Source organism: Homo sapiens, chromosome 6 (assembly GCF_000001405.40).
Source record: "Homo sapiens chromosome 6, GRCh38.p14 Primary Assembly".
NCBI classification, from domain to species: domain Eukaryota; kingdom Metazoa; phylum Chordata; class Mammalia; order Primates; family Hominidae; genus Homo; species Homo sapiens.
In genome coordinates, this window is record NC_000006.12 from 129,610,640 (window position 1) to 129,635,680 (window position 25,041).

At 35.7% G+C, this 25,041-nt stretch overlaps 1 protein-coding gene across 1 annotated transcript in view, besides 1 other annotated feature; it reads right to left on the reverse strand.

Annotated features, from left to right (window-relative positions):
• Window positions 1-25,041, reverse strand: part of ARHGAP18 (Rho GTPase activating protein 18) — a 134,046-nt gene that overhangs the window by 34,508 nt on the left and 74,497 nt on the right. Inside the window, exons 4-8 of the mRNA NM_033515.3 lie at window positions 23,403-23,466; window positions 18,714-18,883; window positions 8,048-8,213; window positions 5,573-5,664; window positions 894-971 (exon numbers count right to left, since the gene is read on the reverse strand). Of these exons, the coding sequence (NP_277050.2) occupies window positions 894-971; window positions 5,573-5,664; window positions 8,048-8,213; window positions 18,714-18,883; window positions 23,403-23,466 (570 nt within the window). The remainder of the gene's footprint in view (window positions 1-893; window positions 972-5,572; window positions 5,665-8,047; window positions 8,214-18,713; window positions 18,884-23,402; window positions 23,467-25,041) is intronic.
• Window positions 9,091-9,291: a silencer, noted in NCBI's record as "peak6120 fragment used in MPRA reporter construct". NCBI's record gives its function as "represses an SCP1 promoter by STARR-seq MPRAs in K562 erythroleukemia cells {active_cell/tissue: K562}" and the evidence as "EXISTENCE:reporter gene assay evidence [ECO:0000049][PMID:32103011]".

Sequence of the window (25,041 nt, forward strand, 5' to 3'; positions counted from 1 at the left end):
TCTTTTGAGACGAAGTCTCGCACTGTTGCCCGGGCTGGAGTGCAATGGTGCGATCTTGGCTCACTGCAACCTCTGCCTCCCAGGTTCAAGCGATTCTCCTGCCTCAGCCTCCTGAGTAGCTGGGATTACAGGTGCCCAACACCATGCCTGGATAATTTTTTGTATTTTTAGTAGAGACAGTGTTTCACTATTTTGGCCAGGCTGGTCTCAAACTTCTGACCTCGTGATCCGCCCACCTTGGCCTCCCAAAGTGTTTTTTCTTTTATTTTTAAGAAACAGGGTCTTATTGCTCTGTCACCCAGGCTGGAGTGCAGTGGGACAATGACAGCTCACTGCCACATGGGACTCCTGGGTTCAGGCAATCCTCTCCACTCAGCTTCCTGAGTAGCTGGAACTCCAGGTGACCACCACAATGCCTGGCTAATTTTTTAAAATTATTTTTTGTAGAGACAGGGTCTCACTTTGTTGCCCAAGGTGGTCTTGAATTCCTAACCTCAAGCAATCCTCCCGCCTTGGCCTCCCAAAGTGCTAGGATTACAGGTGTGAACCACCACGCCCGGCCCTGACTTCCGTAAACTCAATTGCTACTACTCATCCTGGCTAAATCTATCACAACTATCCCCACGCCATTAATATTTTAACTCATCACATTCTTTTGTCATAGTATTATTATAGGTAATATGGTGATTTTGAAAACAAAACAAAACAAAAAACTTAGCAAAAACCAGAAGGGACTGTAGAAAAACTAAACTGAATGGTAAAAGGTTTTATTGTTTTATTTTATCTACTTTACTAACAATGGAAAAAAGGGGTAGAGAGGACAAGTTAGCTTTTAAAATGCATAAGTGTAAATAAACAATAAAATGTTTACATTAGTAGAACCCAGAGATTACCTTGATTCTAATGGCAGCTCCAGGGATCCGTAAGAGGCCTTCTGTTTCCAAACCTCTCTCTTCAATTCGAGAAATCAGCTGTGCATAAACAGAGAAACATTCTAATTTCCGTATTTGTAACAGGTACAATTCCGAATTTAACATCTGTTTCACATATAAATAAAACTGATTACAATGACATGTAAACTGGATTTTATGAGGTTTTGAATGCTATTTTACTACCACTGTCCTTCAAAACAATAAGTCCAGAAACTTTTGTTATAATTTAGAAAAAGTTGGGCCTTATGCTACTTTATAACAGAAGTGTGTAATTTCACACAACAGCTGTGGTACTCCAAACAAACAGAATAAAGATGTTCACTGTTTAAAAGCAACTAAGAACATCTATTTATTCTGCTTTTCCAGAAACCTACATTCTGCAATCAAATAAATCTTATGAAAATCTAGCATTTGCATATTTACATCTCATTTTTAGCTTGTTCCAAGAAAGAATTATTTATGACATGCAGAAAAAAGACTGTTTGCAAATATTCATTTTTAAGTCTTTGGTGTTAAACAAAGAAAAATGTCCTTGTATATGGCCTCTAAGTCATACCTGATGCCCAATGAATACGCTGATCTAACTCCAGATTCCCACAAAAAGCATTTTTTTGTTTTTGTTTTTTAAAAAGGCAGAAACCCGCAAAAAGAAGGCAAATGGAGAAATTACAATGACTACTGGAGGCTAAGAAGACAATAAGAGTGGTCAGATTCTTGATAACGTGATCTTCTTGGAGTAGGCATTCCCTGAGCAGTACACAAAGGCCGTATAAAACATATTCTATTTTAAGAAAATCAGTTTTCCTGTCCTCAGTTTGAATATAAGGCATTTCCTAGCATCATATAGGTTTTCCTCCCTGGCACCCACTCTCATTTCACAATTGCCTTCCCTGCTTTATAAAAGACAGACCTATTCTTCACTCATCCACAGTCTTACTATAATATTCTCTGCATGCCCTAAGGCATAAAATCTTCTAGAGTATCAAAAGAATGTAAAAAAAAAAATTTTCAGGGAAGCCTCCTTTAATGATTAAACAAGGCTCTATAAACTACCTGGAGCTTACTGTTTTTCCCTTGCACATAAAAGTGTCTGTTAGGAGCAAAGCATCATAAATGAGGTATTTTGACCTTTGTCTGGATATTCTGAAGTTAGATATATTGTAGTATGTGGACACTGGAAGAGATGTCAACTTTTCTTTAAACACTTCACCTCTTCTATTCCTGGGTTATATTATGGCCAAAGATGCACTGATATTGAGGAAGTCAGTAAGAACTAAGCATAGCAGTCTCAAAATTCTCCTAAGGATTTATTATTAGGAAAAGAGAAGCATCTTTGATCAGTCAAAGCAGTACAGGATTTTTAAAAATTCATCTGGAGTAGGCCGGGCATGGTGGCTCACCCCTGTAATCCCAGCACTTTGGGAGGGCGAGGCGGGCGGATCACAAGGTCAGGAGATCGAGACCATCCTTGTTAACATGGTGAAACCCCGTCTCTACTAAAAATACAAAAAATTAGCCAGGCGTGGTGGCAGGTGCCTGTGATCCCAGCTACTTGGGAGGCTGAGGCAGGAGAATGGTGTGAACCCCAGAGGCGGAGCTTGCAGTGAGCCAAGATCGCAACAGTGCACTCCAGCCTGGGCGACAGAGCGAGACTCTGTCTCAAAAAAAAAAAAAAAAAGAAAAGAAAAAAAATTTCTGGAATATTTTCCAAGACCACATTTTTCAAGTAACACTGGATAAAATCCCATAGCAAAAATTTTAGGCGAATTATTTTAGATCAGATGGGCGTTATTCAAAATAAAGCATTTAAAACCTAATGTAACCAATATTCAATGTATAGCCAATTTTCATTTTATTTGATCTTATAAAATGTTTAAAATGTTTCTAGTCCTATTAACAAAAAGTACAATTGTATGCTAGCTGCTGGAGCAAATTAGTTTTCAGCAATATATGCCTTTCACTTTCATTAAGTACACAGGAAAAAGTGATTGTGACTTCTAAATAACTGAATGAGCGTAATTTCTGCATTTTAATATTTGAGTCCTTTTCATTATTCTCTAAGGCTAAAAACCAGCACCCAATAGAGTTACGTACATATATCGTCAGAAGGAATGCCATGTGTTTTCTTATATATCTCACTGAAAATAACATTTTTAGCTACATTATATTGCATTATTAAAATATAAATAATACTTTATAGCATTCCTTTTATTATCAGGATTAAAATAGAGATGAAAAATAACTATATTGACTCATACATTTTAATGATGCTGTTACTAATGTATCTATGTTCTGTAATTTATCAGTAATTTTCATAGCATTTCTCAAAATATATATTACATACTTATGTGAATTGAAAAATGAAATGAAAACACAGACTCTTTGACACAAAGTATGGCTGAGTTGGCTGATTCATTTGACAGTGAAAACACTAGATTTGATAATTAGGTTATAAGACAGACTTTTTTCATAGATTAAAATTAACAATATTTCTATTTCCCTCATCCTTCTGAGAACACAAGGTTTAAACAATGTACCTCTGAGTAAAATAATATAACAGGTACAGGTTCATAGATATTAGATAAGCTTTGTTAGTGTCCTTTTCGGGTATATAAGCTCAAAAATTAAATTATAGTCCTCTAAAGACTGGTAATGAATCTTCTTGCAAATCAGTCGTTTCTAATTTTTTCCATTTTACAAAATACAGATATGACCTAATTGAGTTGTCAGCTGATAAATCAAAACTTTTTTTGTGATAGATCACTGTGATTTTTTGCTTATAATTCACAAGGGATGCAAACAGATGAGTGTTATCTACAAGTAAACTTTTTATATGCTCCTTTATTTTTTATAGAAACAAAAATACTTTAGGGCCATTATCCAATCCTTCAAATAGATAAGACAGCCAGAGTCTGCAGAATGTTAAGGGACCAAAAATGTAAAATAACCAACTAAATAAATTTAAAAAAAAAACTTCAAGAGAAAATGACAAAGGAAGATTTTTCTTAATAGACTGGATGCAATCCTCAGCCGGATCACGTGGCATCACTGAACCTCCACAGAAACTGAAGCTCACTGTATTTCTGTGGTGTGATGGTGAATTTTGTGTGCCAATTTGGCTAGGCCATAGCGCCCAGGTGTTCAGTCAAACAGCAGTCTACATGTTGCAGTGACAGATTTTTTTTTTTTTTTTTTTTTGGTTGTCACAGTAGACTGTGAATAATGAAAATTATTTAATACTCTCTATAATGTAGTGGGCCTCATCCAAACAGTTGAAGGCCTAAAAGATTTTGGTTTCCCAAAGAAGCGGCAATTTTGCTTCAAGACTGCAACAAAGAAACACTGCCTAAGTTTCAGCCTGCAGAGTTTGGACTCAAGATGGTAGCATCAACTCTTGCCTGAGCTTCCAGTCTGCTAGCCTGCTCTACATATTTCAGACTTGTGAGCCCCACAATTGTGTGAGCCAATTAAAAAAAAACAAATCTCTTCCTCTCACTCTAAATATATCCTATTGCTTCTGTTTCTCTGGAGAACTTTGACTAATACCCCAGGAAAGGATGCTGCTGAGATCCCTGCTTTGTATAGGCTTTGGTGTATAGTAAATTGCAACTGCTACTGACAGAAGAATTTGAATATGTAGCCTGTATTTGTCAGCCTCCTCCTGTTAATCACAGGTACTGCTGACAGCTCTCCATAGATACATGTTCTGCATGCAGTGGCTAAAAGAGGCTGATGGGTGGGATCAACTGTATAGAACAAAGTTTGTCAGGAGAAATAATGAGATGCAGGTTTGAATGTAGTGGTAGATATGAGGGGAAAAAAGCACCAAAGGTTAGTAGGTAAGACGGAATTAATTGACTGGTTTGGAAGAGGGGAAGAATAAGTGCCAAGTAGATTGAGCCTTAGTACTGGATGAGTTTGCTGAGCCAATTAACTGCAAATCAATTTCTACTGTCCCAAGAAATTTCAGAAACGGTGATATGCCTGGGCTGCTGCAAAGAATCTACGGCTTGGGTAGTTCACAACTGAGTTGACCTGTCTTCCTCACTGTGCATTCCCTAGCTTTTCTCAAATGTAATCTGTATTTCTGAACAATGATGGCTCAGAGGTTGGACGGAAATTTTTATATTGCCACAGATAATCCCCTTATGAATAACTGAGTGTTGACTACACAAGTGACTTAACAGTTTAGCAATCATTTTCTAATTCTACTTTATGGTTTCTTTGCCTACTTTGGAAATAGGCACTGGTAAATTAAATTGGACATCCTCACTGTAAATAGAAAAGCTGAGGAAATATACACAGGCATGAAATATTCATGAGGATGCAATTCCCTAGAAATTTATAAGCAGTTCCCACTCCTATGTATTATAGAATTGAAATCTCAATTATACAAAGCCAGCTAATATAAGACAGGAAAATGACGCCAGGTAATCACAGTTACAGTAATAACACAGAAAGCATCACCATGAATATAAAACTTATGAGCCCTTGAAACCAATTTGCTTCCTGAATAGAAAATCAAAGTACAAAACATGACAGTATATGAATTGGAAAACTGTATTATAATAATATGAATACAAAAACCACTATTAGCTTAAGTATGTTCTCTCTATGCTGACCAATCCAAGCCTACCTACTTTTTGAAAGATCAAGGGTATTCGCATTCCTGGTACTTTCCTCTGATCTTGTTCTAATAGCGCTGTCAATGGAACGCAAAAAAGACCAGAATCTGCAAGAAAAAAAATGAAATTTCCTCACTTTTGTCAATCTATAAAATATTAATATAAAAATGTTAAAGCATAAGATTTCTGATACTGTCGATCAGACAACTATTTATTTAGCAACTACTAAGTGAATGACAGCATCTCAACATTATATATATGGTGGCCAATAGTAAAATCCTGGCCCTGCCTTATAGAGGAATGTAGCAAGGAAAGACAACTAAACAAATGATTGCAAATAATTACCAACATAATTAGAAAAGTGCAAACTGCTGCATAAGAGAAACAGAGGGCTGTGAGAGCATGCAAAATATCCAAATAATTTACTAAATGTAATCAAATTAAAAATTCTTACTTAAAAGCAAATATTGGCCAGGTGCAGTGGCTTATGTCTATAACCCCAGCACTTTGGGAAGCCAAGGTGGGAGGATTGCTTGAGCCCAGGAGTTCAAGACCAGCCTAAGCCTGGGCAACATAGCAAGACTTTATCTTTATGAAAAATAAAAAAAAATTAGGCAGGTATGATGGCAGGCTCCTATAGTCCCAGCTACTTGGGGGGCTGAGGTTGGAGGATAGCTTGAGCCTGGGAGGTTGAGGCTACGGTGAGCCGTCACTGCACCACTGCACTGTAGCCTCAGTGACAGAGCTGTCACCGTTTTTATCACCAAAAAAAGCAAATATCATTCATCTTTTCCATATTAAATAGACATTGAACACTTTACAATACAGCAAAATACAAATATTTGCTTTCTAAGAAATCAGACAAGATCATGATCTTGTTCTACAAATGTTTCTCTTTAGAAAATAGATACTTGCTACTCTTAAATTTAACTTTGTGATTGTATATACTTAGAAATAGCTCCAGAAAAAAATGATGGTAATAATTTACAATTTTTCTAAATTAAAATCATAGCCTTGAGTCTGGTATGAACATGGCTTCGACCAACACCTCCACCCTGCCCCCATCACTGAGTGGACGGTTAGCACCAAAGTGATAACTTTTTCCTTTATGACGTACATCAGCATGGAAATGAAAATCATCTGTGAACATGAAAAAGGGGATTATCTTGTGGTATGAGGACAGACATTGGATATTGTGACACTTAATCGAGATGCCATTCAAAAGAACGCCAGTAACCCAGTAAATAACTTTTCAGTTTGGGAATTCGGAAAAGATGCAATCTCAAGGATGCCAAGGGTCTAGGGTATAACATAAAATCAGTATCTTGGATAAGACAAACAGGTATTAAATAAAAATGGAAAGAAAGTCTATTAACAGTGATAGCCTTGATATAAACAACTTAACGTTTCTTTGCCAGGATGCAATTCTAAAACATAAGAATTAAAAAAAAAAACTCTTAGCCACTTTAAAAATCTTGGGCACTGAACCACAACTGTTTAAATTGTATTTCTATTTTACGTTTGGAGAAGGCTTTGTGTAAGCTAAAATACTCAAAGGAACTAAGCACAGAATGAGGTCTTCTGGGGCCCAGCATGACAGGACCAGAAGGGAAGGTACACTTCAGTCCTACAGAGTAATTGCCTCTAAAACCTAAATCAGGTGAATACTTGTCTTTGTGAATGTTACCACAGCAATTCAATAATCCTCATTCTTGGTTTCTCTTTAGGAGATACTTCTAAGGTTAAACAAGAGGACAAAGATTCCTAAGGTAAAGCCTTGTCAACAGAGAATTATGTGGATTTCAATACCAATAAATTACTGGAGAAACAAAAACTGAAGAGGTATCTGTTCTCTATTATATCATTAAAAATAAACTGTTTATTTAATGGGTAAAGCAAGGTACTTACAAAAAAAACAAAAAAAAAAAACCACTCCATATTTCCATGATGAGTACAATCTAGTGGTATTGTTTTGTCACAATGGTGGTATTTTCTTAATAGGGGAAAGAATGTCTTTGCAAAATAGGTAAAATTAGAATGTCCAGGAACAAAGGGGCAGACTACTAACTAGCCCATTTATTTGCTATCCAATGAATAACCAAAAGTAGTCACTTAGAATCAACTGTCTTAAAGTCATTTTTCAAGATCTGATTCTGGAAATAAATAAATATGTGTACCAAATATGTATCTTTTTAAATATATAGTTTTTAAAGGAGAAAGCAAATGAGTTAAGAGTCCTTGCTTCAGAATTTCCTTCTATGAGAATTAAATTCTTTGACTATGCCTTTATTCTCTATAGTCTAGGACACAGTGTATCTCTATCGTTATAAAACTTTTGAAGGCAACATCTTAGAATATAAACTTTAGATGTATTCAAGTGTTGGTTTATTTTGCAGGTGTTTTCCCTGTCTCCCAGAAATACTGCAAAAAAGCCAAGTCCATCCTTGCTATTTTAGAAATAAATCCAAGGGTTTATCATTTCATGATTACCTTTTGTTTTGATTTTCACAGCTTTTTGTTGTTTCAGCTCAATACCCAATACATCATAGAGGGCAGTCAGCTCAATTAGGGCTAAATGGCAAACTTTCTTCATGTCCTGGGGTGCGAGGTCACCAATCCTTGTGGTACCCGTTTTGTCTTTTGGCAATCTGAAACTCTAAAATAAACATCATTAATATAGTAAAAGCTTACAGTACCTAACCTCCATTGTAATGCAGGAAGGAAAAACCAACTACAGAAAGAAGTTATACTCAGAATAAGTGATAAGAAAAGCCACAGAATTTCTCCAGTCAGAATGAAGAGTGATCCTGTCATGATGACGACCCCTAAAGCTGTGGAGGGTTCGGGAGTCAACTTCCAAAGTCTGACAGACAACGGGAACAGACCGCAAACTCGGAGTATTAATACCAGTGGCTCAGAGGACAAGAGAGACAGTGAACCAGGAGAAAAAGACTTCTAGTTAAGTGACCTTCAGAAAAGGATGGCTAGAAGTCAAGCACAATCCATGAGGGGGAAGGGGAAGAAGAGGTGGGAAGGGAAGGGGAGAAGGAAGGGGAGAGAGAGGGGGAGGGGAGGGGGAAAAGAAAGAGGAGGGGGAAAGAAAGAAGGAGGGGGAGGGGAAAAGGGGAAGAAAAGGGGGAGGGGAGGACAGGGGGAGGGAAAAGGGGGAGGGAAAAGGGGGAGGGAAAGGGGGAGGGAAAGGGGGAGGGGAAAAGGGGGAGGTGAGGGAAAAAGAAGAGGAAAAAGGGGAGGAAAAGGGGGAGGGGAGGGAGGGGGAGGGGGAGGGGGAAACGGGGACAGTGAAGGGGAAGGGAAGGGGGAGGGAAAAGGAGATGAGAAGGGGAGAGAGAAAAGGAAGGGGAGTGGGCAAGGGGAGAGGGAAAAGGAAGGGGAGCAGGGAAGGGGAGAGGGAAAATGAAGGGGAGGGGACGGGAAGGGGATGGGGGAGGGGGAGGGGGAAACAGAGGAAGATGACATGAAGAAGACAAGTAGGGGGGAGAGAAAGAGGAATACTAGCCATGAGTGTATGCTTAGAACATGCCAGGTACCCTTCACATACACTTATGTATCTTTTAATTGTCACAAAAGCCAAGTAAGATTGGTCCAGAAAGGCTACAGCCCATTGGGGTAAGAGGGACACAGGGGAAACGAAGAGCATGGACTTCAGAGCTTACCAGTCACCTATCTACTTACTAGTTGTGTGACTTATGGCAATGGCTTAACCTTTACTTCTGTAAAATGGGAGATGGAGGGGGAGGGAAAGGAGGAGAAGGGCAACAAAAAGAAGAGGATGGGCCACTGAATTCAGAGGGCTATTGTGAGATTTAGTGCCCAGCACTGCCCAAGTGCTTTTATGTGGTTGCTACTGCAGGTTGAGTACACCTCATCCAAACTGCTTGAGACCAGAAGTGCTCTGGATTTCAGATTTTGAAATATTTGTATATACACAATGAGACATCTTGGGATGGGTCCCAAGTCTAAACACAAAATTCATTTATGTTTCATATACACATAGCCTGAAGGCAATTTTACAAAATATTTTAACTAATTTGAATGAAACTAATTTTGTGTTAAGTACTTATGTGTGGGATTTTTCACTTGTGGCATCATGCCAGTGCTCAAAAAGGTTCTGATTTTGGAACATTTAGGATTTTGGATTTTTGGATTAGGGATACTCAACTTGTATATTACTTTCACTGCTGAATAAAGTGGGACTAAGATGTTGCTTCATAATCACAAGCACATGGTGTGTTTTTCTGCCTTTCTCAAATATCATCTTTTAATATTAAACACATTAAACATCAGAAAGCAAACCACAAGATAAAAAGGCAAATTTCACTAGTGTGTACATTTAATACAAATTACAATTCCATTGTGTTTACCTATTACTAAAACTGATCATTCTCTTACAGTTTGGGTTTACCTTTGAATTTTTCATTTAATTCAATTGCTGATTAGCTGATTTTACTGCATCTATTTTATTCCCTTTGCTTTGGTACTTCTTGCGTCTTATCATTAACACTTCATCGTCTAAATGCTAGGGCAAAAGACATGTCCTAAAGCAGTAATTCTCAAAGTGTAGTCCAGGGACCATTGGGGGTATCCAATATCCTTCCAAAAAGTTCAGAACTATTTTAATAATTAGTAATGAGGCATTATTTTGCCTTTTACACTCTCATTCTCTCGTGAGTATAGTTTTCCAGATGTAAATGAGTGCTACTGCAACAGACTGAATGCAAACGTAAATATGATAATCCAGCTGACTTCAACTAAAGCCAGACATTACAGACTCACTAAAATTAAAACCATGATACACTTAATTTTCTTTAGAAAATATGGCTATTTTCCATTTTGAGAAAAAGATATTTATGTTAACTATAATATTGTTATATTAAATGGATTAATATTTTTTCAATTTCTCAATTTTATTTTCAGATATGGTAAGTGTCCATAGGTATAACCCACATAAACAGAAGGTTTTTGAGGCCCTTAATAATTTTTAAGTGTATGAAGGAGTTGTGAGATGAAAATGTTGGAGTCAGTCTCCTACAGCAACTCGTAAAACCTATGACTTTTAGTAAGTGAGAAACTAATTCCCTTTAAGCAAACTCAATTCAAAAGAGAGCCTTCAAGTCCACTGTAAGAGGAAAGGGGTCTTTCTTAACCGTTCGTAATGTGTTTTTTTTCCTAGGAGAACATCAAATAAACAGCAATGGACATCACTGAAGATGGGGCCTAAGCAAATTTCCAGCAGGGGGCAGGATGGCCTCCATGGGGCACTGCACAGGGCTCAAGAGAGTGGAGTCAGACTACAGGTGGCAAATGCTGTTTCCATCACTTACTATGTGACCTTTGGCAAACAATGTCCCCTTCTGTGCCTTAGCCTCCTCATCTGTAGAATGAGAACAACTGAACCTAACTTACAAGGTTGTGGCGAAGATCAAATGATAAATAGCACTCAAAAAGTATTACATATTATATTTTTTTCATGGAGCTTTTAAAATAATATCAACATTTCATGGTCTTCCTTTATTCTTATGTGTCATGGCAAGGTAAGAAAAAAATGATAATAATAATTATCTTATCGAAAAACAGTTCATTTAATCCTTCAAAAGTCCTAATAAGAATTATTACAGCATCTTCTAGGTGGGGAAACTGAGACTCAGTTAAGTGCCTTAAACATGGCCACAAAGCCAGTGATGTCATGAAGATGCAAATTCAGTTCTCCTAAATCGTAAGTTTTGTAACCATTCTGTTCTACTCCATTTTTCCCATCCACCAGAGTAGGCAGGGAGATATCTAGGTTGATAGGTGTTGATGTGGTACTGTGAGCCCCTCAAGGAGAGGAGCCACTTCTTAATCACTTCCGTAACGCTGTTGTACCACAGACCTGACACACTATGGGTGGTCTGTCATGGTCCACTAAATGAATGGAGACACACATCCTACAGGGAGGCGAGCATAGAATCAAACTCAATGAGGTGGAGGGCCATTGGCTTCGTGTTCCCCTGATTTTCTGTGATTTCTACTGAGTTTTCCTTTTTAAAAATCACACAAAACTGGTCACATTTTTCCCATGTTTGGTCCTATATTTCTGCTAATTGCTTCATTTTCTGAATGCTGAACCAACCATATTTACCTTTTTTTTAAGCCCTAAATGTTTCATTAAAATCAGTTGCTTTGGGTCTAATAAGTCAAACACATGTAATACAGCCGTTTAAAGCATTACCCAAGGTAAATGTTTACAGAATCCTGAAATATTATTAATTCAAACATTTGATTTACCTAGCGATATATGTCATGAGCTTATTTATTTATTTAAACATTGTGCTTAATGAAGGAGTTAGTTCTTTATCCCAATGTTTAATTCATAGCAGCAGCTTTAAATATTTATGAAGTTTCCTGTCGTTTTTTGTTTAGTTAATAGACTGAATGGTTCAGTTCATTGGCTAAGAGAAAGCAGTGAAATTTCAGCAAGAGAAAAGTTCTCTACCTCTTGAAAAATGTGTTTAAAGAAAATAAGACTGGGCATGGTGGCTCACACCTGTAATCCCAGCAATCTGGGAGACTGAGGCAGGTAGATCACCTAAGGTCAGGAGTTCGAGACCAGCCTGACCAACATGGTGAAACCCCATCTCTACTAAAAATACAAAAACTAGCCGGGCGTGGTGGCAGGTGCCTGTAATCCTAGTTACTCAGGAGGCTGAGGAAGGAGAATCACTTGAGCCCAGGAGGTGGATGTTGCAGTGAGCCGAGATCGCGCCATTGCACTCTAGCCTGGGCAACAAGAGTGAAACTCCATCTCAAAACAAAAAAAAAAAAAAAAAAAAAGGAAAAAGAAAAGAATAAAAATTTTCAAAAAAAAATGTAAGGTCATTGATTCCCTTGTGTTACCATAAATTAACTAGGTAGCTTTCCCTGGCGTGTTGCTCTTTTGTAGGATTTGCATGAGGGGCCCCTTAGGCATTTCATCACTAATAATAAACTTGACTTTTTTACTCATCAGATCACTCTAGCTTTGACTTGGAAAGCAAGAGAAAGGATTCAAAAGCTTAGTCATTAATGTCAAGCCTCAGCATGTCAAGTTACCTCTCTAACATGTTTCCATGTATGAAAAATAGGGGTGTCTACCTCCTAGAGGTCATCTAATAAATAATTACAGAGCATAATTTCTGAGATATAACATGTATACACTAAGTAGCTAAATTTTCAAACTAAAGCAAATTAAAGGTTATAAAACCTGATCTCCAAATTTAAGAGGAGAAATTTGAATCCACGATGAGAGATCATAAAGAATTGACAAAGGTTGCTCGATGCTGTGAGGAAAAGGAAGTGAATATGAAATGAGGTCAACAGAGAACAATGTATTACATAAAGCCTACTGCTTATTTACAGAAGTAGAGGAGCATGGAACAGAAATGGAACTTAAGGTTTTATCTACTTAGACACCTGCCTCAGAGTAGTGAATACAAATCTTACTTTTTCAACCATGGGAAAGACTTGTAGAAATTTAACAATGAGTCCATACCTTCTAGAAGACAAACGGACTAAAAAAGAGTTTCTATAGATGAGTATATGCATATTTGCATAAAAAAATACATGGACAGATTAACAATAATGTCTAAAGCATGCAACCTAAATCAAAGGTGATTTCATATATTTATTTGATCTAATATAAGTTCACGATCAGGAAAGACTGAACAGGAAAACTGATCTTGAGCTAGTCTCTGAAGAATAGATTAAAGTTTCCTTGGCAAATATGGAACAACAGAGGGGTAGAAATGGAGAGGTCATTTTAAACTTTGGGCACAACTTGAATATAATTAAGAAGGTAGGTGAAGGTAAATTAGTTAAACAGAGAAGAAAATGGCAGAGGGAGTTTTGTTTTGAAAGCTCTCAAGTGGAGATGAATTATATTTCATTCCACTGTTTGAGTCAACAACTTAAAAGCCAACAATGACTTCATTTTGTTTAATTAGATTCTACTGTCCTTCAATTTAAAACCTTTCCATATTTTGTGATGAAGACTGTCACTTTGAAAACATACTTATTGGCCAGGCACAGTGGCTCATACCTGTAATCCCAGCACTTTGGGAGGCTGAGGCAGGCGGATCACAAGGTCAGGAGTTCGAGACCAGCCTGGCCAACGTGGTGAAGCCCCGTCTCTACTAAAAATATAAAAAATTAGCCAGGCATGGTGGCATGTGCCTGCAATCCCTGCTACTCGGGAGGCTGAGGCAGGAGACTCACTTAAACCCAGGAGGTGGAGGTTGCAGTGAGCCAAGATGGTGCCTGGGTGACAGAGCGAGATTCCATCTCGAGAAAAACAAAAAACAAACACACACAAAAAACCATACTTTTCCTGAGGATAGTCTGGCAGAGTGGATCATCATTTTAGGCCACACTTGCATACTCTTTTACTTTTCCCATTAGGTATAAACACAGATTTTCAAAAATATACAAGAAGGCCAGGCACAGTGGCTCATGCCTGTAATCCTAGTGTTTTGGAAGGCTGAGGTGGGTGGATCACCTGAGGAGAGGAGTTCAAGACAAGCCTGGCCAAGATGGTGAAACCCCATCTCTACCAAAAATACAAAAATCAGCCGGGCGTGGTGGTGGGCACCTATAATCCCAGCTCTTTGGGAGGCTGAGGCAGGAGAATTGCTTGTATCCAGGAGGCGGAGGTTGCAGTGAGCTGAGATCACACCATTGCACTCCAGCCTGGGTGACAAGAGTGAAACTCCATTTCAAAAATATATATATATATGATATATATTTATATATAATATATATTATATATGATATATATTTATATAATATATATGATATATGATATATATTTATATAATATATATGATTGATATATATTTATATATAATATATATGATATATGATATATGATATATATTATATATTATATAGATATATATTATATATGATATATATTATATATTATATAGATATATATTATATATGATATATTATATATTATATATGATATATATTTATATGTAATATATATGATATATGATATATGATATATATTTATATGTAATATATATGATATATGATATATATTTATATGTAATATATATGATATATGATATATATTTATATGTAATATATATGATATATGATATATATTTATATGTAATATATATTATGTATATTTATATATATTATATATTATATATTTATACATATGTATTATATATTATATATAATATATATTATATATAATATATATTTTATATTATATATTATATATAATATATATTTTATATTATATATTATATATAATATATATTTTATATATCATATATATTATAACTATACATTATATATTATATATATTTATTATATATTATATATCATTATACATTATATATTATATATTTATATATTATATATTATTATATATTTATATATTATATATATTTATATTATATATTTATATATTATATATATTTATATTATATTATATATATTTATATATTATATATTTATATATTATATATTTATATATTATATATATTTATTATATATTTATATATTATATATTTATATATTATATATATTTATATATATAATATATATTTTTATATTATATATTATATATTTATATATTATATATTATACATTTATATATTATATATTATATTTATATATTATATATTATATATTTATATATTATATATTATATATTTATATATTATATATTATAGATATTTATATATTATATATTATATATTTATATATTATATATTTATATATTATATATATTTATATTATATATCAAATATATATCAAATATATATATCAAATATAGCTATCTATATATATACACACACACATATATATACACATATACACACACACACACACACACACACACACACACACACACACATATATAGAAGAAAAGCCTGGAAACAATTCAGATGTCCGCCATAGGGGGACTGACTCAATAAATTATGATACATCTGTACAATGGAGTACAATGTATCTAATAAAAAGAAGTGAGAAATATTTCTCTATACTACTATGGTATGATTTCCACAATACACCACTAAGTCAACAAAACAAAAATCAAGGTGGAAGAAACTGTGCATAGTGAGCTACCAGTTACCTAGGAGCAGAAGGATAAACCATGATATTAAAAGGAAAGAAAGTTTGCCACTAAGAGGAGGGATTGAATAGGTTGGTAGCTGAAGGATAAAAGCTAGATTTTTAATACACTTTGTTTTTCGACTTTACTATTGGACTATATAAGTATTTTACATACTTATAAGCCAAAATGAAATTTCAAGAAAAGCAATCTCTAAAAATTGAAAATAAAATAAAGCAAATTAACCAAACCAGGTATGCAGCTGATGGCTTAACGATACAAAGAGTAACAATCCTAAGCAACCTAAAACACAATAATTTTACTGTATAAAATCCCTTTTAGGATGTACCCCCAAAACACACACACATACACACACACACACACACACACACACAGACAAATAGAAAAAAAAAGAAAAACAAGTTTAAACCATTTCTAGTAATCATATTGTTGATGGTAGTATTAGCATATTCTGAGAATGCTGTGCATTAACTTAGGATGAAGCAAACATGCAATTATGTGATATTCTAAATATATCATCTGCCATTTCCTGAGAACTACAATTCACAGCATGGAAGACAGAAGATGCTCATGTACGTCTGTCCTCTGAAAAGGCTCAAAAGTAATGACCAGCTCAGAGAAATGAACACTTCTAGAGTCCTGATCATAGTCACAAAAGTCTATTTCTACTAAACGGAATCAGAGTTTCCTGCAGAAACATATCAGTCTAGGTCTGGAACAGAAAATATACCAGACAAGCCTGTAAAATCTTGTCCAGGATCACATCAAATATGTGTAAATCCATGAGTTAAGACTATTTTTACAAATATATATAATTCCGTGAGTTAAGACTATATTTTACAAAGCAAATTAAAACATTAATTGGTCACAGGTGAAAACTGTTAATAAGTCAACAATTTCTGAAAACAAATAGAAAGTAAAAATGACCACTTTCAGAAGGTTGTTCTCAAAGAAATATCCAAATTAATAAATAAAAAGAAAATATTAGATCATAATTTTGTAACCGTTAATAAATTAATGGATCCAGGTATTGATCAGCAACAGCTGCTACATTGACAAAAAAGAAAGCAAACAGATATTATGAGCTTCCCAACAGAAAACATACAATCACATATCTGACGTAGTCTTGACTCCCCCCCAAAAAAGTGAAACTGAATCTGATCAATTTAAAGTCAACTAATTAATAAGAAACAAAAGAACATATTAAACTACACCAGGGGAATAGTCAGAGGGGGAAACTCTCCACAATTTAATAACCACGTTTCTTTAATAAATTAATGAGGAGGGAGGAAGGAAAAATAGAGAGAGGAAGGGATAGAGGGAAAGGAAGAAAGAAGGAAGGAAGGAAAGAGAGAGAGGGAGAGAGAAAGAAACAGAGAAGGAGATTTAAGAATTCTTAAAAGATGTATTAACTAATTGCAATACAACACATGACCCTTATTTGGATCCTGACTCAAACTGTATAAAAAGATTATAAAATTATGTGATACAATTTGAAATTTGAACACTGCTTAGATATTTGAAATTAAAAATTCTTAGCATTTTTGGTACAATAATGGTTATATGGTTAGGAGTTTTAAAATCCCCTCTTTGTCTTTTAGAAATATAGATGATAAAATATAATTCAGAGATGTATTTCAAAATAACACAGAATAGGGAACTGGGTGGGGGTATGAATAGGTCAGGATTGGCCATGGGCTAATGAATGTTGGGGCTGAGTGCTAAGTATTTGGGGGTTCAGAATACCATTTTTTTAACTTTTGCCTGTGTGAAATTCTGCATAATAAATGTATTTTTTAGAAAATGCAAGATATTCAGTAGCAATGAGAACATTCACTACACAGAGCTTGGTTTCTAAATACAATTTGCTGCTAAAAAGTACCAGAGCTTCTTGGAGAAATGGATGCTTTCAAGTCTGCAGGGAGAAAATTACAAAGAGAGCCTGGAACATCTTGTGCTAGAAACTGAAGAAGCAATTACGGAAGACTGTGTCAGCCAGTAAGTGTAGAAGGAATAATAGAATTTTAAAATAGCCATTTCTTAAGCACCAGGTTAGTTGTTGTTTCAGGCAAAGTTACAAATGGATGGTGAAACCACTGGGCAATAGGCTTTATTGACATATAAGATATTTGCCCAGTCTCAAGGATGACAAATTATTATTAATTGCACATAGGAAAGGTATCTTTTTATAATGGGGAGATCTAGTGAACATCTCTCCTTAGACAAGTTGGTGACCAAACTTCTATCACCAATAAAGGGACCATCTGATACCATGCATCTCTTCTGATGATGCAATCGAAGGCATAAACATCCTCCATGCAGTAAATGTGGCTAAAAATGTATAACTTGAATCCAGTCCTGAGGAAACAATCAGAAAACTGATTTGGACTCTTTGATAATATTGAAGAAAAGCAGGAGACTAACCTAGATTCAAGAAAACCAAACAGACCTGACAACAAATACAGTATATGACTCTTGCTTGGAACCCAAATGGGAGTGGAAAAGAGAGAAGCTATAAAGAACAATATTGTGACAATCGGGGAAGTTTTGATATGACTGTATATTAAATATGATTATCACTTCAGCTTAAATTTCTTAAGAATTAAACTTTAAAAAAGTACATATAGATAGATATAGAAAAGAAAAAGAGGTTATAAAATATTAATAACTGTTGAATTGATCTATGAAGGCCAAATGGTGTTTGCCATACTATTCTTTCAACTTTTCCGTGGGTTCTACATTTTTAAAATAAAAAGCTGATGAAAAATATATCCTGAGCCAGGTGTGATGGCTCATCCCTGTAATCCCAAGACTTTGGGAGGCTGAGGTGGGAGGATTGCTGGAGCCCAGGAGTTTGAGATAAGCCTGGGCAACGTAGTGAGGCCTCATCTTTCTCTCTGTCTGTCTGTCTCTCTCTCTCTCTATATATATATATATGTGTGTGTGCGTGTGTGTGTATGTATATGTGTGTGTGTATATATATGTATATGTACATATATGTATATTTATAAAGAGTGTACTACGTACAGGTAATGTGGCATCATCGCCTTTGCTCTTCTGGATTTTCTCCTTGGAGCTCTCTTTCTGATTGAGTGCTTGCTCGGCAAATGATACCTCCAGGTTGATGTCTGTTTCAGGGGCAGGCGTCTCCTCAGGTGGGATCAGCTTCTCTTCACCAACAAGGTTAGATGCCTCGTCTAGGGGCCCGGGGGGAAAGAACCCAATTCATATGCTTTATTTATTTTTTAAAAAAAATTCTAATGCATTCGCTACATAAAAACATTTGGGAAGAGTACTATTTTCTCTAGGCAATACTTAGCCGTTATTTTAATACTAAAGAGTATACTCAAGAATCCTATCAATGGTGCATGGGAAGTGGGCAGGGAGACTGTGGTGACTAGCAATCCATAGTTCAATTGTGCAGTCTTTGAGACCACAATCCTCAAACTGGGTTCCAATTCCAAAACATTGCTGGAAGATAGTAAACTTTTAATAAAAAACCTCAAAAGGTTTTGAAGTATTAATTGTTGTTTTATTCTACACTGAGAAACTAAAAGCAAAAAAAGAAGGAGGTGATGAGCAGTAATCTCTTGTAAAGCTAGTAATTTACCATTTAATTAATTTCCTCTGAGTGGATCAGTTTCCTGGAATAAACTTCTTCCACACCCTGCATTTACTTTCTGGAATATTACCTACCTATCATAGTAAAAATTCCAAAACAAGAGTTAGTGCCAAAAAGTGATCACTATGCGAGTCAGGTCAGGACGTACCTGGTACAGGAATGGTTGGGTTTGCACCTGATCATGTCAAAAAGTATAAAAGTTCCTACAACTGTAAATACCAGTCAAATAATTTTCACATATTTACATCAAGATTTCAAGGATATAGTAAGTTTAACTTTGTTTTGGCTTTTTTGGCTTGTTGTTAACCCTCCAGAAAGGAATTTACATTTAAAAATCTCTTTGCTGAAAACACCAGGTTTAAGCTTTGGAGAAGATACTTCTAAATTTGATTATTTGGTAAATTTTTTGTTTTAATGCAATTAACAGAAAAAAACCTAAAGCCAAGAACCAAGATTACTGATTTTCTCACTGTTGACCTTTGAATCATAGTAAGAAGCTCTGAATTACAAAATACATCTATGCAGTGTAGACACATGCTTATAACAGGCTCACATACGAACACAACAAAGTGATGGAAGCTAAAGTTAATTTAAAAATTTAATAGATAAATGTCATAAATACATATATTAAGAGTCTGCAGTTCAGAAAAATAATGTTTATATTCATTTACATTAAAAATGAAAATGCCTGTTTTAATCAAAATCAAGTTTAGAAGTAAATATGAATCTAGTCTTATTCAGTCCCATTCAATATGCAGAGTAGACTTCCCAGGCATGAGACCTGTGCAGCCACACAGGGCTCCAGGCTCAGGAGGGTTCCACACTTGGTTTAATGCTCTGCTGTTACATCCTGAAATGTAAATAAGAGGCCCTATATGTGCAGTTTGTCCCTGACCTTGCAAATTACACAGCTGGTCCTGATGGAATCTCACAGTTAAGAAAGTAAGAATTTACCTGTGCCAATTCCAAAACTAAGAATACATTTAAAGCCCGTTGATATTATTAGTATTCATCTGCTGCCATGTATATTTATGTTTCTCAACAGCCTGTGACCATTTTTTAAATTAGAATACCTATACCTTTTGATGATTAATTTTTTAAAGTATCAACATGAATATCAAAGCACAACTTTAATTTTATTTTCCCTCTGGTTTATTCTCTTTTATGTTTTACTGTGACTATGTACACTGGTTTCCTAGGAAACTATTCTAAGAGGAAAAAAATGATTAGCCATTTTCTTAAATTAGAAGCTACCTTTCTAGCAGCTGAGTAGTTGTGGGCAAGAATTTCAAAACTACTCTTTCTTCTCACCACCTCCATGTCAGGGTTACAATAAATACCCCCACACTCACACCCACACCAACGGACTATGCCGAATGTAAAGCTGAGTAATTATAATTAAGGTAGTACACATTTAACACACACATTTCCTTCAAAAGCAATGCAAAAAAAAAATACCGCATATCAAAGTTCTAGTTAAAATAGAAAATCAAGTTGAAGCACAGCACAGAAAAAAACAGTTTCAGGGTTGAAGAGGGGTACTGCTACAAGAAATGGATGATTACTTGGCTAATAAGTGATGTTTTAATTACCTACTCTCAATAAGAACAGAATGCTGAGATCAACCTTTTGGCTCTTAAGGTCCTAAAATAAATAAAATTTCTGTCATCTAGTCTCTTTTTAAGTGCACAATAGCACTGGGTTACAAACATTTTGCAAATCTCCCTTAAGTTTTTCAGTTGTCCAAAATATCCTGAAATGCCTTAAAAAATTTTTTTTAACCACCTGACTTTAAGATTCAATTGCTTCTATTTTAAAAAAAAAAAAAGATTTTTCTTTCCTCTGTAGAAATTCAAAAGAAAATAAGAAGCTATACATATCAATATAAAAGTTTAAAAAATTATTGGGGCATTATTAATATTTCTAAATGTATTATTAAATATTGGGCCTTTAATAGAGTTTATGATTGAATGAAAAATGAACATATTACAGTGAATTAATTTGGAATGTGACAACCCTTGCAACTATAAAACTTAACAACCTTTTCATTTAGAATAAGTATCATTGGCGGAACATGTTTAAAAACTCAAGTGTGGGGAAAACATTTAAAAGAGACTATGTCACCCATGCCTTCAAATTTTAATCAGAAACAGCCCCACTTTTGAACCTGAGACAATGTTTCCATGCATTTCATCCTGAACTTTCCAATGTTTGGCTTACACTGGTTAATTCACTGGCTAGTGAAAGAGCATGGCATTGCCCAGAACAGGTGCAATAGGGAATACTCAGTGACTTGGATGGCATCACACATTCTCTTGTTATTCTGATTGGAGGATCTATGCCCACTATGTAGCATTCCAGCAAAAGCAGATGTAAATCAAGCAGCAAGTTTGTCACATTTCACTTGCCTGCTGCAAGCCAGGCAGGAAAGTGCTCACATTATGAACTTGTCTTCCAGAACTTTTGTTGATATAGCCTACATCATGATCCCTGGCAAGGGAGGAAAACACCAAGAAAAGGACAATGTTTTCCTCAGCATCCATTCACCAACTGCCAGTCACTCTTCCCCAGAGCCCAAAACATATTGACATTGGCACAAAAAACCCATCTGTCTCTCCTGATGACCCAGCTCTCTAGCAGGCAGGGTAGCTATGCCAGCTTGCTTGCCACTTCAGCATCTGCAGGTACATAGATCTGAGAAAACACCTAGTGATTTCATTCAGATATAATGCATACAACTGAAGAAACATCCACAGAATAATAAAAAGCAAGTATTTTTATAAATATATATGCATGTATATACATGTGCATGCATATTATCTTTAAGGCAGGGGTGCCAGAGAGAAGTTCTGAGGAAAGTATGGAAGGAAAAGATCCCATATGATCTTGAGTAATGTAGGATTTTTATAGGAATGTTGGGAACACTCCTCAGTCCTCCACAGTTTACCTAATACCCCTCCCACTACTACTTCCAAACCAAATGCAACACTATTAATGGCATGAACACTCCAGTTGCTAAATTTTAGGAACATAAACTTAAATCACCTTTGTTTTAGTTTGTTAAATAACAATTAAGGACTACATTTTTAAGCTTAAATCTATTAACTTCACTTAGAATATTTTCCCTTTCTGTAAACAAATGAAATAGCTATAAATTCTCTCTTAGTAAGTACTAATAAAGCCTTAATAGTAACTTTTGGCTGGGCATGGTGGCTCACACCTGTAATCCCTGCACTTTGGGAGGCCCAGGCAGGCAGATCATTTGAGGTCAGGAGTTCAAGACCAGCCTCGCCAACATGGTGAAACCCTGTCTCTACTTAAAAAAAAAAAAAAAAAAATTAGCTGGGCATGGTGGCACATGCCTGTAATCCCAGCTACTGGGAAGGCTGAGGCAGGAGGATCACTTGAATCTGGGAGGCAGAGGTTGCAGTGAGCCAAGACGACGCCACTGCACTCTAGCCTGGGAGACAGAGCAAGACTCCACCTCAAAAAAAAAAAAAAAAAAGTTACTTTCTTCCATACCTCGAGTTTCTAATTCAAATCTGAAATAACAAATGTTAGCAGAGAAACATGAAAAGTAGAATTATAATCAATTGCCCATAAAAATCTTAACTATTTTAAAAAGTTTTCCTACAATATCTAAAAAATTACCCCATATATGAATTAGGAGCTTGTGATTTAAGAACGATGCTGCAAGTTTGTTGGCTCAGGGACTAGCTGTGTTGCATTGGAAAGTGGCTTCACAGCTCTAAGCCTCAGTTCACTCATCTGTAAAATGGGTTAAGAACAATAACCATTACATGGTTTTCAAGTGTATTAAATGAGGTAAACATCTCCTGATAGCATCTGGCACATGATAAGCACTCAGGAAGATACGTATACGCATTTTGAATCAGAAAATAGGAATACACATTAAAAGAAAATTGAAGGCCAGCTATATGCTCAGCCTCACATAATGATCCACTTGAGACCTTACATTAACATTTTAATAGAATTTGCTTACTAGAATTGAAGGTAATGTTTTATAAGACTGTAACTGTTATACTAATTAAAGGGCGGAAAAAAAAAAAAACAAGAGAACAGGTTCAACATACCATCTCTTCCTTGGTATTTGTTTTCATTTGTTCTAAGTGACTGCGATTCAGTGCCACCTGGAGCCTAAACATAGAAAACAGGCCATTTAGTCATCTCCAACTCAAAACCAGAGAAAATGGTACTGTAAATAATTTTGTTATTAATCTTTAGAGTACAAGACATGTACTCAGAATTATAACAATCACAGTGAAAAAGGGGCACTAAGATAATAATCAACAAGCAATCATCCAAAAAATATTTTATTACCTACAACTTGTAAGAGACAATAGTAGGCCCAGTGGGAAATATTAAAAAAGTCACGAGTGGGTCCCTGTCATCAAGAATGCTACTATGGAGGGGAGGAGAAAGGACAAACATGTTAAAAAATTAGTAGTAGCTATTAATTGACAAATGGATAAGCAAAATGTGGTCTATCTGTACAGTGGAATATTATTTGGCTATAAACAGAAATGAAGTATTGATACATGCTGCAACATAAAGAAACCTTGAAAATACTATGCTAAGTGAAAGGAACCAGTCACAAAGAGCCACATATTCTATGATTCCATTTATAGCAACTGACCATAATATGCAAACCACAGAGACACAAAGCTGACTAATGGTCACCTAAGAGTAGGGAGGGAAAGATGGGGAAGGTCTGTTAATGGATACAGGCTTTCTTTTGGAGACAATAAAAATGTGCTAAAACTGATTGTAGTGATAGTTGCACAACTGTGAGTATGCTACAAAACACTGAATTGTGCACTTTAAGTGGGTGAATTATATGGTATGTGAATTATATCTCAATCATGCTGTTATAAAACTATAAAAGTACATGTCCCTAATAAAACAGAAATTCTTCAAGTTAAAAAAAAAAAAGCAAGAAATAAATGTGAGATAAGTAACTAAATTACCAAACCAGCAATAAGACCTAAAACATCTGAAGGAATTCCTGTTTTCAAGGGGTCGGGGCAGTGACGCCCAAGGAACGGGGCCTTCCAAAGGTTTATGGAGATGGTAAACCATGGCCGACTCTGCTCAGCAGTAAATGTGGCCAGAGAGTACTTCCTCCTTTCCAGGTAAGGCTTCAGAAGGAATTCAGAGGTCAGGAAGAAGAGTCTGGATCAACCACAGAAAGAGGTCTATTCAAATTATTTTAATAATATTGATAATTCTACTGTATTTTATCTCAGACAGAAAGTGGCCATTGTAGTCTCACCACACATTTCACCTCAAGCTGTTGTCCACGAAGGACTTCATCCTCCACCTGAAGTCTAAAAAGAGCCTAGAAAAGCACTAGGCTAGGGACGTCTAGGCTATTAATGCACCACTTAGAGATGGGGAAAACCCAGGAAAGTGTTACAGTGACTACCAAGTCACAGAAGTGGTACGTGGGTACCCAGCATCACTTTAATCCCCTGAAGCACAGAGCAGTCCCATTCTCCTTCCCTCCTCCCACAAGCCGGCAGAGGCTGGCCCTGCATGGCACAATGAGCAGAGTGATTCCAGTCTCACAAAAGAACACATATTTTGGAGCATGTGGTCGGAATTATTTTCCTTAGCAATTGAAGATGGCAGTACAGATGGTGTTCATTTCTGCATTATATTTCCTAGTGTCAGCAAGGCCTTCATGAGGAAGCATTTAACATGGAAGAGCTG